The sequence below is a fragment of the Homo sapiens genome, chromosome 17 (genome assembly GCF_000001405.40).
Source record: "Homo sapiens chromosome 17, GRCh38.p14 Primary Assembly".
Lineage (NCBI taxonomy): Eukaryota > Metazoa > Chordata > Mammalia > Primates > Hominidae > Homo > Homo sapiens.
In genome coordinates this window covers 55,648,633-55,662,947 of record NC_000017.11, presented here as the reverse complement: position 1 = coordinate 55,662,947, position 14,315 = coordinate 55,648,633, and the positions used below count along the sequence as shown (strand labels likewise).

Here is a 14,315-nt window from a genome sequence, read left to right as displayed (position 1 = left end):
CCAGACACCTCAATCCCATCCTTCTTTACTTATCCAAAGTCTCCCTCCCTAATGGAAAACTGGGGACCTGCCTAGGCTGAGAGTTTCTTAGAGAGGAAGCCACCTTGTGGGAGTTCTTTACTTGAAGTCGTACATGACACTCAGGTCAAGTAGACAGAAACAGCAGAGAATAAAGGTGGAAACAAAGATCAGATATGGGCGCCACAGCCAGTCTCTAGACCTGAGAAGGGTCAGGCACAGAGACAGAAACCAGAGTAAACACAGGGGCTGGAGAAGCAAACTGAGGAGTATGGGGACCATGGGTGAAGGGAAGGAAGGAGGGTGTTCTTGGGTGGATTTTTGGGAAGATGCTTTGGCCAAAGTGGGCTTTCATATGACCCTCAGCATTATGTGAGGCAAGGTCATCCGTGTTTAAAATTCCAGAGTTTGGTTCTTCTTGTTTGTTTTTGATAATTTACTCATTTCATTGAATTCCCACCCTTTTCAGGGTCACGCAAAGATATAAGTTCTCAGGGGTGAGGTTCCAAGGGACTTTATCACTACCCTAGCAGCTTGCCTAATAGTATGCAGGATCAGATATCGAGCAGTAACTATTCAGCTATAGATACCAGCTTCCTGTGTTTGGAAAAGGTAAGGAAATTGTTCATTCATTCTACAAATACTTGCGGAGGATGCAAAAATGGAACAGGGCCATCATGGACGTTCAGATAAAATGCTGGGGGAGTTGAGAGGAGGAAGCTGGCATTTGAGCTGGGACTAAAATCCACCCTAGCTCTCGTATGTGTGTGCAAGTGCATGCTTTCAATGCCTTCTTATAGGAATGACGTTTGCACTAATCCCACTGTATTACAATTATCCAGTTACTTTTCTGCCTCTCTCGATCAAACTGAAAACTCTTAAAGGGCAAGGACTGAAGCTTGTTCATCATAGACCATATACTACTAGTAGTAATAGTATACATGTGGAAAATCTTTACTCAATTTTAATTGATTTTAAATTAATCATCAGACCTAGAGTTTGGAAAACTTGACTCCAATGACAAAAGCCAGTCCTAGGATTTGCAATGCATAATCCTATGCTTTCTCTATGAAATGGCAGGGCTTCTGATGTTACCCTCCTGAGCAGAGTCTACAGCATGGTTTTCTTGAATTTCCCACAGAATCAAAAACAGTGCCACAGACATGGGAAAACTCGACAAATATTTTATCAGAACAATCAAGTGATTTGACTTACAGCAAAACACAAATTAGTGTGACTTCAGAAAATATTTTCATCATATCTTGGTCATATTTTTTCATCATATATAATCCCTAGCAAAGAAACAGAGGACATGCAGACCATATGACATGAGGTTTCACATTAGCTTGATTTGACAAAGATGCAAATAATGCACAGACCATCTGTACATGAGAACCAGATGTCTCATTTGCATTTGGATTTTTCCAGTAGAAATGAATGTGGAGGCTTTGAGAAATGCATTAAATTTATTTTAATTGACATAGACTTAGAATGTTGAGACAAATTATTTTCCAGGCATCAAATGCAAAGGTCAGTGTGTGCACTTGAAGGGATAAAAATAACAATGAAAGAAGGGCAAGGCAGCTGAGGTCGGCACTAGAAGCATCTGGAGGATATGGAAACTATAAGGAGGCAGATATTGGAGGCACAGATAAACACCCAACTTTAACTAATATTGCTTGAGACCATCTCATATACCAGTTGTTGTAAAAGCAACTTCTGTATTCATTATTTCATTTAATTATCATAACATCCATATGGAGAAACTCATGAAACCCCGCTCTGCAGATTAAAAAATAAAAAGACATAGAGACTCAAAGAGGTTAAGCTGACTTGCCCATGCAGCCACAACTTTCAAATCTCTGCATCAGCAATCAAACCTATGACTTGTCGCTTACTGACCAATGCTCTAAAGCAGACAAGGCAGGGAGGAACAGGCAGGTTCCCTGGTGTCAAAAGCTAGCTTGTCACTTACTGACCAGTGCTCTAAAGCAGACAAGGCAGTGAGGAACAGGCAGGTTCCCTGGTGTCAAAAGCGAGACTCCAGATTCACAGAGTCAGCAAGACCAGCCTAACTAACAAGAAGCACCAAGGTGGAGTTTGTTAAAAGGTCTACCTAAGAGAGTAGTCCAGGAATCACAGGTATCAAGTCCTTGAGGCCTTTAGGTAAAACCTGAACCTTGAACCCTGGCAGGGCAGAGATACCGTGGCTGTAAAGTGTGGATGTACTTTTATCCTCTGGAGTCCTGGTCATTTTTGTTCAGTACAAATGGTGAGTCAGAGATTTTGAAACAGCAAAGAAGAGCCAAGCTCTAAGGAAAACTCAAATGGTCTATTTTATCCTGTTCTGTTTCCAGTTTTAGAATGAATACACTTCAGCTAGCTCAGCATTTGAGCCCCCTTGAGCAGAAAGAGTTAATCCATTTGGAATTTCGTGGGAAGCTGGGTTGGTTAGGCTGTGGGGGAAAAAAAAAAACCACCAGCATTTAGCTCATTGAAACAGAGAAGGGGCCTGTGGGTCACTGTTGTTCAGCACCAAGACTAGGAAATGGTTTATTGTACAACATTCAATAAGCATTTTCTCTGAAGGAAGTGGGCTGTAAATGTGTCAAATGACAGTTATGGATTGGTCTCTGGGGAGAGGAGATGTGTTGAATTGCTTTACTTGATAAATTGACTTAGGAATTAAATGAAAACTTCTACTCTGAATCACATGGACCTAGTGCAGTTCTTAATTCTATTCCAGTAATGCTCTATTGAGAATGGTATTCCTTAATATTTGTGTGGTTCTTTATGAATTTTCCAAGGTATGTTTATACTTATCATTCCTGAATTTCTTGTTGCTTGTGTTGAATTGAACCAAATTTGGCCTGAGAATGACTCTATACTTTGATTCCTTATGTAACAACTGCAACCTAACTTAGTACAGAAACTAACTGAAAGCCGACTTTAGGAGTATACTTTTGTAACAAATAGCTGAGTCTTGGCCCATCACAGCAGCTAAGCTCCAATCCATCACTGATCAGACCTTATTCAAATAGGGCAAACACCAAGCTATAACCAATCAAGCTGTTTCTATGCCTCACTTCCATTTTCATAAATGCTGTCCGCCCATGTTGTAAAGGGGAACTCTCTGAACCTCTTCTGGCTCTGAGGTTTGCCCAATTTGTGAATAGTTCTTTGCTCAGTTAAATTCTGCTGAATTTAATTTGCCTCAAGTTTTTATTTGAATACATGGGAAGAGCAAAGCATTATTATTCCCTCTCCCTTTAAAACAAATTTTTTTAGAGATGGCGTTTGCTCTGTTGCCCAAGCTGTTGTGCAGTGGCGTGATCATAGTTCATCGTAACCTTGAATTTCTGGGTGTAAGTGATCCTCCTACCTCACCCTCACAAGTATCTGGGACTATAGGCTCATGCCACCGTGCCCCTCTCCCTTTCATTTTAGATGAAAGAGCAGTGGTACAGGCCAGGCGCAGTGGCTCACGCCTGTAATCCCAGCACTGTGGGAGGCCAAGGAGGGTGGATTGCCTGAGGTCAGGAGTTCGAGACCAGCCTGGCCAACATGGTGAGACCCTGTTTCTATTAAAAATACAAAAATTAGCCAGGTATGGTGGTGCATGCCTGTAGTCCCAGCCACTCAGGAGGCTGAGGCAAGAGAATCGCCTGAACCGGGGAGGTGGAGGTTGTAGTGAGCCGAGATCATGCCACTGCACTCCAGCTTGGGCAACAGAAGTGAGAATCCATCTCAAAGGAAGAAAAAAAGCAGTGCTACAGATAGAAGAATGAATTATCAACATGACCAGCGTGAGGCTGCTATGGATAGTAATAATAAGAAGAAGAATAACAAATAATTTGTTGAACACCTCATACTCAGTGCCAAGCATTGGGCTAAGCACCCGATAAATACTATCTCATTTAATTGTCATCTCAGTTCTATGATATAGGTACAATTATGATCTCCATTTGAATAAGAGAAAAAAACTGAGGTTTACAATGGTAAACATTTACCTCTACAAAGGTTTACTCAAGCAGGCCCCACAAGCAAGAAATGACAGAGCTGGGATTTGAGACCCTGCAGTCTAGTTTCGGACTCATACTTCGAACCAGTGTGCTCTAGCTTCCCTTTCCCTCTCTCCTCCTGCTCCTATTTAGCCCCCTCTCTACTGTGTCCCACCTGGTAGTTTAGCAAGCATCACCTGATTCCAAGAAAGTTGGGTAACATAGAGCTATTGAGCATAAATGATAATGGGTGTAAAGTTCAAGACATGGGAGTTAGCACATTGTAAGTGCTCAAAACAATTGCTAACCAGTATGTAAATGTATGGAAAACAATGTTACTTTTCTTAGCATCAGGATTCCTTTTAGGGAGAGGATTCTAAGTCACTGGAAAGAAACTTTGATCATTGGTTTAAGGGTTAGAGGACTATGTCCAACTGGCAATTAAGCGACCCTACTTCATTCTATGGAAGATGGCTCCACTTACTTTTGGGGCTTTATTTGCTGAAAGGGGTGTGCAAGTTTTCAGTGAACTTAATTCCTTCAGATCATAGGACAGAAATTGAGGGAAAGGAGAATCTAAGTACCACTGGGAAGAGAGAATTTGGAGAGAAGGGAGCAGAAATATCTAAAAGGGGATTTCTATTAAATATTTTGCTGTGTCGCATGGAAAATAGACTCTGTCCTGCATCTCCTACAAATCTACAATGTAGTCCTCAATGCTCATTGATGATCTGTGGAAGGTATGTTCTTTCTGAAGAAGTGAAGTTTCCTAGTTTGAGGAAGGTGCAGGAAGTAAGAGGTTACAATTTTATTGTGTAAAGTGCTGAGAAGTGCTTGGTACAAGATCAAGCATGGAGCAGGCATTGAAGAAAACCAAAATTACTCTCTCTATTATCATTATAACCAATGGTACCTTGATTTCTAACAGAATAATAGGAGACACAACAAAAGAGCGGAAACACTGGTTCTGCTGTTCGTTAATCAATTCATTATTCAATCATAAGACTGAGGCAAACGCTGCTGCCCCTAGGGATGAGAAAGACCAAGAAGCAGATGTTGGTTCTTACTTGATGTTTGAAGCATATTGTAACTCATGATAAAACCTGAAGAACAAATTCGATGACATCTTACTGTTTACTGCTTCCCTAATTAAGCTTTGATACCTTACGGCAGAGTTTGTCTGCAATTATATTTCAATTTTAAACATATATATGTATACATTACAGCATACATATACATAAGATGTGTATGTTACAGCACTGAATAGTGACATATATCCATACGTATATGTATATCTACATGTATACATACACACACACATACACACACACACACATATGTATATGTCATCTAATGGCTGGTCAAACAGCATGGAAGAATGAGCACCCTTACCAGCCAGTGAGAGTATTTGTTGTTGTTTCTTTTTAATCTTATCCTCATATAGTACTTATTATGAGTCAGGTATGCTTTATCTGTATTAATCTATTTAATCCTCAAAATAACTCTATGAGGTAGATGCTATTATCCTCCCCACTTTACTCATGAGAAAACTGAAGCACAGAAAGATTAAAAATTTGCCCAAGGTTACACAGTTGGCCAACAGACAGAGGAGCCTGTTAACAGGAAGTCTCTGTTCTTGAGGGATGTTCTGGGAGTGCCACCAAAATGCCAAGAAGAAGTATTAAGCAGGATGACAAAATTCATACGTTTTTCCCAGCGTCAAGGCATCTCCCAGGAAATGGCTGAGGAAGGAGAGGATAAAGATAGGCAGACAATTGTGGGTTGAGTGAAAATCCTTTTGCAATGGCCAGCATAAGCCTTACTGTAGCCTCAGAGGAGGGGCCAACAATCCAAAGTACAGTAGCTAAAAGAAAAACAATTGTCAGAGGCATGTCACGACTTCAAGGAATTTGAAGAAAAAAAAATGAGGGCATGCAGGTGCAGGACGTCTGGAACACCAATTCAAAGGTACTATGCTAGAACCACCGGGAACAAATGCTGATTCGGTTTTCACTGTCATTTCCAGGAACCCATTCCCCAGACCCCAAAGGGACACATGTAATGTGCCCTTTTCAACTTGAGTGGCACAAGAAAGCAGCCAACAGGATTTGCAGGGACATACCCTATTCCTTCCAGCTCCAACACCCACAGAAGCAGAGAGAGGGAATTCTGCATAGAGAACCCCAGACCAGGTCACAAGGGTAACCTGCTGCAGTGTATGAAAACAGACTACTTGTTGACAATGTCCTGAGCTCACACTGATGGACATGCTTAACCTGCACTGTCCTTCTCCAAGGATATATTTCTCCTGGGAGAACATGACATCTTTATTCTGACAGAATGTCCTGAGTGGGAGATGAAGACAAACTAGAGTCCTCTGGCTGCGGCTTCTTTGAAACTGACTGCCTGTTCATTTGAACAAGAAGTCCAGTTCTTTTTTCCCTTGAACCAATGATGTAAGGATTTTCCATAATTTGAACATCATTTTAGCATTTAATAGACACACAAGCTTATCCCTCTCCTGATTTATGTGTGAAGATCCTCTTGAGATCCTTTAAGGATGTGTAGAAAAGATACGTATTCTATGTGTGATCTAAGTTTGAACCCAGAAGGATATCAAAAAATGAAATGGTAGAAAAATGGCAGCAACGTCACTATCTTTTAGTTGATATATTTCTATAGTTGATATATTTCTATGCTAACCAACTGAACTGAATTTGGAATAGACACAGAGTTCAATGAAAGAGCAGATCTAGCCATCCAATCTGCACTACTCATAAAAATATGACTCTGGAACTGGGGCCAGTGCTTTCTGGGCACCACTAAGGAGAATTGGCTGCATGACCCTGGGCTTTTCTGAATAAGTTTCCTAATGTATGATATTGAAGATAGTACTATTGAGTTAGCAGCACTATTCTAATTACTATTCTTGCAGTGTGATCCACATGCATGGCATCTTATCTGAACTTCTGTTGTGCCATAATCATTTTACTTTTATAATGATTAGTGGTTTTGTATGCATCATCTCCTGTTTAGGCCAAAATAACCTAATAGCTTCATAGTTTACAGAGGTGTTCATGCACATTAAATCAATTGATCCTCACAGCAATCCTGGTAAATAAGACAAGTAAACATTATTTCATTTTAGAAACAAGGACATGAAGCCAAAGGAGATTTCAATAATTTTCCTAAGCTCATGCAGCTAGAATGTGGTATAAAAGAACACAAGTCTGGCACTTCTGACTTACAGAAGCCGAGTCCCCAGGTCAAATGTTGGCTAAATAGGAAGGGCATAGACTTTCACTAACATAGGACTTTTATTTCATCCTTGATCCATTTCCTTTTCCATCCCCACTCCCAGGGCCTAGCACCATTCTTCATGAATATTAGGCTCTTCACAGATATTTGCTGAATTCATTCACTCATCCATTCATTCATTCATTCATTCAATTATTTATTGAATATCTATATGCCAGGCACTCTGTTTGGTGCTAAGATACTGTGACAAAAAAAGACTGACTTGATTGTGCCTTCAAAGGAGCATATAACGTAGTGGGAGAAAGAAAAAGGGAAGGAAGGGAGGGGTGGAGAGAGAGAAGAAAGAAGGAAGGAAGGGAGGGAGAGAGATAAACTGGTCATAAATAAATATTATTTATTTTTTAATCTGGATAAAATACAGTTTAGTTCAGCCTGGGTAATTCTCCTTAGTGGTGCCTAGAAAGTACTTGGCCCCCCGCTCAGAGAAGTATTTTTATTAATACTGCAAAGATTTCCTAAAGGTGGCTGTTGCAGGGCTTCTGGATTGCTGGGGAGGAAATGTGAAAGGGTGTCCAGTGTGGCTGGAGAAGGTCACGTAATGAATTGCAGTGAAATCATGGGAAGCTTGCTAGCTTCGTCTTCTGTTCCTTCTCTTTGTCTAGATGAGAAAAGTGTTTATTTAGGAATGTTCTCTCTGCCCTTGACTTAGAAACAAGTCATAAATTTTATAATTCCCATAGAAGCCTTCAACTTTTTGTGTATTTTCTCTTTGCTACAAACTGATGGACACTCTCTGAAAATCAGCCCTGAATTCACACCACGGCTTCCAATGCATTTCAGTTACATAACGTTTAACGATTCTGAATCATAATTTTTTGGCACAGTGATTTCATCCAATAGCAAGGGAAGGGAAATAACATGTTTGAGCTCCTGCCTTACAGCAGGTTCTCTACCTTCTACTGTTTTATCCTTGGTCCAGGACATAGCAGCCCTCAGTAAATAAATGTTTAATGAATATATGAATAAATGATGTTAGGGCAATAGCGTGACTCTACTTATTTTACTTAAATTACTCAAGGTATACCCATTAGAAAATTACTTTCCTACATACCATGAAAATATTTGTAAAAGAATAAAACCAACATCTTCATGCAGAATGCGCTTTTAAAAGTAATGAGTTTTAGTCTTTTGTTAAAAAAAATCAGTCTTTTTAAAAATATTTGCCAGATAATAGACACTGATAAAAATTCATTTCTTCCCAGGCACGTTCATTATGGCATATTTATAAACCTGACTGCATAACCAGTAGATAGAAAAATAGCAAAGTATACATCTTCTAAGAATTCAGTGCTTGAGTAGCATGAATAATTTCAGAACCCAAACCATGTTACAGATAAATAACTCAGGCTGTTAACACTTCTCCACTGATGGCATATAAATCAACAGCAGTGACGATAAGCAGGAAAAAAATGCAACAGTCTTGCAATCCTTTGTAATGTCATATTTCTATTTCTACTGCATCCATTTGGGAAAAAATTATATTCATCACTACTGGAAATTAGTTACTCTTGTTAAGGTAAATCATATGATAAAATTCTTAAATAATTTTGATGAATAAAGGAAATAATGACAAACAAACACCAAAAGACATAAGTTTGTTTCTTGGCCAAGTTTGTAAGAAAAAGTTTACAGGTAGGACTTAAAAAAAAAAAGACTACTTAGTTCTGGAATCCTTATGTCTTGACTTATTCTCTCAGTTTCTTAAATATTTGGGGGGAAATCGTAAACTTCTTTCAGAGTTGGAAGCCCTCTCCTTAGAAGAATGTGCATCTGGACAGAATTTTGAAATTTTTGTTATTTTTAGTTTTTTGGGTACATAGTAGGTGTATCTATTTATGGGGTGTATGAGGTGTTTTGACACAGGCATGCAATGTGAAATAAGCACATCATGGAGAATAGGGTATGCATCCCCTCAGGCATTTATCCTTTGAGTTATAAATAATCCAATTACACTCTTTAAGTTATTTTAAAATGTAAAATTAAGTTATTATTGACTATAGTCACTCTGTTATGCTAATTTGCATATAATCTCACAGGGTTAAATCACATTTGAGCCTTTGATGTCCAGGTTCACTCCTTTCTATAGGACAGCAACAACAAAGCTAACAGGAGAGAAAGGAAGTCGCCCATGTGAACTCATGAAAACTCACCCAGTTTCAGCTTCAGGTTCCCACCAGCTGCTACCATCCAACACGACCTTTCATTTTGGAGACTCCAAAAATACCTCAAGTTTCCAAATGAAAAACTTTAACAAATTATTTCCAAGAGTTCCTACAAAATATTGTTGTGGGAACTGTCTCCAAGACGGCCCCATTTGGCAAGCAGGCCTCAGCATGCCTGAGTGTGCCATGGGTGAATAATAGTGCCAGCTCTTGTTTGTTATGTGTGTATAATATGCCAGGCACTTGCAAAACACTTTACCTTAAGAGGCAGGTTCTATTTGCATTTTACAGAGGAAGAAACTGAGGCTTAAAATGTCATATGACTCGCCTGTGGTCATACAACCTGGACATTCAGATCCAAGTATTCTAACTCTGCTAGGAGCCATGAGTACAGGCTGCCTGGAGGGATGGAGATGGGGCGCCACTTGTAGAGACTGTGGACTGAAGGTGAAAGGACACCCTTGATGAATACTGCTTTGGGATGAGGCATGCAATCTTTTTTTAAAAAATAGCTGCATTTAGATATAATTCACATACTATAAAATTCATCCATTTAAAGTATATAACTCAATGTTTTTTAGTTCATTCACAAATATGAACAATATCATGACAGTCAATGTTAGAACATTTTCGTCACCTCAAATAAAACCTGTCATCTCTCTGTACCCAGCCCTAAGAAACCATGAACCTACTTTCTGCCTCTGCAGATTTTACTATTCTGGACATCTATATGAAAAGAATTACATAATATATGTACTCTTTGTAACTGGCTTCTTTCACTTTGCATAATGTTTTCAAGGTTTATGCAAGTTGTAGCATGTATCAGTACTCTGTTCCTTTTCATAGTTGAATAATATTCCACTGTATGAATATACCACATTATGTTTATTCATGAGTCCATTGATGGATACTTGAGTCAATTCTGCCTTTTGGCTATTGTGAACAATACTATTATAAATATTCAAGTTTATGTATCAATGTACACTTTTATTCCTCTTTGGGTATACACCTAGGATGAGAATTGCTGGGTCATATGGTAACTCCGTGTTTAATCATTTGAAGAACTGCCAGACTGCTTTCTAAAATAGCTGCACCATTTCATATTTCCATTAGCAGTTTCTGAGGCTTCCTATTTCTGCATGAGGCATGCAATCTTTCTCATGTTGTACCTTACTTAATGACTTCCTGGGTTGAGTGTGCTATGATGCATTCCCCTCATGACTCTTGGGTTGAAAAGTGACAATCTTTTTTTGGAGGGGATTTAATTTTTAATTTTTGTGGGTACATGGTGGGTGCATATATTTCTGGGTTATATGATATAGTTTAACACAGGCATTCAACGCATAATAATCACATCCGGGTGAATGGGGTATACATCACCTCAAACATTTATCCTTTGTTTCAATGCAATTATCCTCTATTAGTATTTAAAATGAATGAAAACTGACAATCTTAACACTGAATTCTCTCCCTTTCTCAATCTGTCAGAACCTTAATATTGTTTTAATGGCACTTTTTATGCTTGGTTTCCTTTTAGGTTCTTTGGTGATGTTAAAACTCACACACAAAAAAAGTTCACATATAGACACACACAACACACACCGATTCTTAGTTGTCAGTCACTGACACAAAGCCTGGGGCTTTGATGAGCATCCACAAATTTTGTCTGCCATCTCCAACCAGCAAATATTGATTGAGAACCCACAAGTATAAGTGATTTGCATTCTTGTAAAACTCATGGTTCCCAAAGCACTTATTTATACATACTCCTGTTTGATTCTCTCTGATTGTTTAGTGTAAAAGGTTTTGACATTGGGTTTGCACAGCTCAAATATAAAAGTGAAAACAACATTCAGCATTTGCTTTTTGGGTTTTGTACCCTCTGATCTGCTTCATTCTACTTCATTTCTGCCTGATCTAAATCTTTCCCTTTTTAAAATCTTTATACTTCAGAGAAACACTATTTTCCCATAGGTGTTCCAAAATCCAAACTGTGGTCCCTCGTCAGCAGCATTGAGCTCCTAACAATACCTGGAGGGAATATTACAAGTCCCTTTGCACTGATGCCATGCCTCAAATTTGTCTGCTTTCTGTATTCATACTAAAGTGAACACAAAGCCATAGGCTGATGCCACACCAGGCTGTGCTGTCAGTGAAACCCCTGAAGAAGTATACCAACAAAGATACAACAGAACAATAAAATCAGGCTTGGTCTTTTCTCCAACAATAACTTTAAAACCTCTGGATAGCTGGTTCTCTTCTGCTGCCTTTTTTTCTCCCCAGTTAAAAAATATATTTTTGCACCTACACTCTTATTAACGTTTTATTGTCTTTGCTTTTTAAAATAATCTATTGTGCGTTTGCATTTTTAAACTCACTTTGGTCCATTCAATAAATGTTTATTGAAGAAGAAATGTTATTTTGGTCCATTCAATAAATGTTTATGCTTTACAACTTGAGCATCCAAGGGGAACAAAATAGACACTGACCTTGTCCTCATGGAGTTTATATTCCAAGTTCTCTGGTAGAATCCATGTGCTTTAAATGCTGCTATTGCCAGAAAGATTGTATCTATACATGTTGTGGCTGGACAAACTTATGTCTCTCCTATCTCTGTCCTTTATTTACAAACCACTTCTTTGTTGTCTGATATATGTAAAGCCTACTCCATTATGAAGACCACATGGGGAACTTTCTCTCTTGCCCTTTATGGTTTTAGTTTCTTTTCCTGCCCATTGAGCATAAAGATGCTAATCACATAACATCAATTTATATTCATATTTTCTCACACAATTATATTTTGGTTTGTTTATTTATACTGTTTTTGCAAAATGAATTTGGTAGTTTTCAAAGACAAAATAAAATATGTTTAAATCATTTCATTAGTCCGTTCTCACACTGCTATAAAGAACTACCTGAGACTGGGGCATTCATGAAGAAAAAAGGTTTAATTGACTCACAGTTCTGCAGGCTGTACAGGGAGCATAGCTGGGATGCTTCCAAAAACTTACCATCATAGAGGAAGGTGACAGGGAAGCAAGCATGTCTTACCATGGTGGAGCAGGAGAGAGAGAGAGAGCGAAGGGGGAAGTGCTACACACTTTCAAACAACTAGATCTCATGAGAACTCACTATCATGAGAATAGCAAGGGGAAAATCCACCCCCATAATGCAATCATCTCCCACCAGGTCCGTCTCACAACATTGGGAATTACAATTTGACATGAAATTTGGGTGAGGACACAGAGCCAAACTATATCAATCATTAACATCAAATAAAACACAGCAGTCAGATACTAACCCAAGGTTTAGGAAATTTGCAAACACTGATCAAAGAACTTTTCTCCCAGTTCCCATTAGTATGATGACATCATCAAAAAAAATTTGCAGAAGCATTTGAAGCACCAAATCTTTTGCCTGGTCCTAAGCTTTATGGAAATCTTTTTTTATTTTTCTTTTTTCTGTATTATTTCTTGCTCCCTCTCTTCTTTGGCATGCTTGATAGTTTCTCAGAAGCTTCTCAACAAAAGAGACTTTCCCTGATCTTTTGGGAACATTCCCATATTCTTCTTTAGGACCCTTCTCATTTTAATCAGTCTTTACAGCCTATGATAGACACTGCATATTTTCAGTCACATTCAGTATCTAATATTTTCAGTGGAAAGAGCCAAGCTTTGGGGTCATAGAGAATTGGGTTCTATTCTAAGTCTGCTTCCGAAAATAACTGTGTCCTTGGGTAAGGCACCTCCCTTCTGAGTGGGCTTCTTTACCCATAAAATGGAGTTAATGGTATCTTGAACTAGGAGTTCCGATAGGATAATATTTGTGGCAGGGAAATTAATGACCCTCACCCAAATATATCCATGTCCTAATCCCCAGAACTTGTAAAAACGTTAGGTTTCAAGGCAAAGGAGAATTAACGTTACAGATGGAATTGAGGTTGCTAATCAGTTGACCTTAAGACAGAAGATTACCCTGGATTGCCTGGGTGGGCCTAATGGAATGACAAGGGTCCTCGTAAGTGGAAGAGGGATACAGAACTGTCAGTGTCAGAGTGGTGCGATGTGAAAAAGACTGGACTGACCTTTACTGGCTCTAAAAATGGAAGGAAACCACGAAGCAATGAATACAGGTAGCCTCTAGAAACTGGAAAAGGCAAGGAAATAGATTCTGCCCTATAGCCTCCAGAAAGGAATGCATTCCTAACAACACCCTGAGTTTAGCCCACTTAAGCCCATTTTGCATTTCTAATGTCTAGGACCATAATATCATACTTCTGCATTGTTTTGAACCACTTCATTTATGGTAATTTGTTACAGAAGCAATAGGAAACTGGTAGGCAGAATAACGCCCATGCCCCAAAGGTGTCCACACATCAATACCGGGAACCTGTGGATATGTCAGCTTAGATGGCAAAAGGGACTTTGCAAATGTGATAATGTTGAGGATCTTAAGCAGGAGAAATTACTCTGTATTATTTGATGAACATATTGTTAACAGCAGGGATCCTCATAAAAGGGTGGCAGAAGGGTCAGAGTCGGAGAAGGAGATGCAACAATGGAAGCAGAAATCAGGGTGGTGTGGAGTCACGAGCCAAGAAACACATGCAGCTTTGAGAAGTTGGAAAAGGCAAGAGAACAGATTCCCCGTTAGAGCCTCCAGAAAGGAACACAGCCTCCCAACACCTTGATTTTAGCCCAGGGAGACCCATCTTGGACTTCTGACCTCCAGAACTGTAAAATAATAAATTCATGTTATTTTAAGGCAGTTTATAAGTTTATAAGTTTGTGAGTTTATAAATGTGCCAGTTTATAAG

General features: G+C 39.0%; 1 annotated feature.

Moving 5' to 3' along the window:
- Positions 8,594–8,794: a silencer, noted in NCBI's record as "peak2903 fragment used in MPRA reporter construct". NCBI's record gives its function as "represses an SCP1 promoter by STARR-seq MPRAs in K562 erythroleukemia cells {active_cell/tissue: K562}" and the evidence as "EXISTENCE:reporter gene assay evidence [ECO:0000049][PMID:32103011]".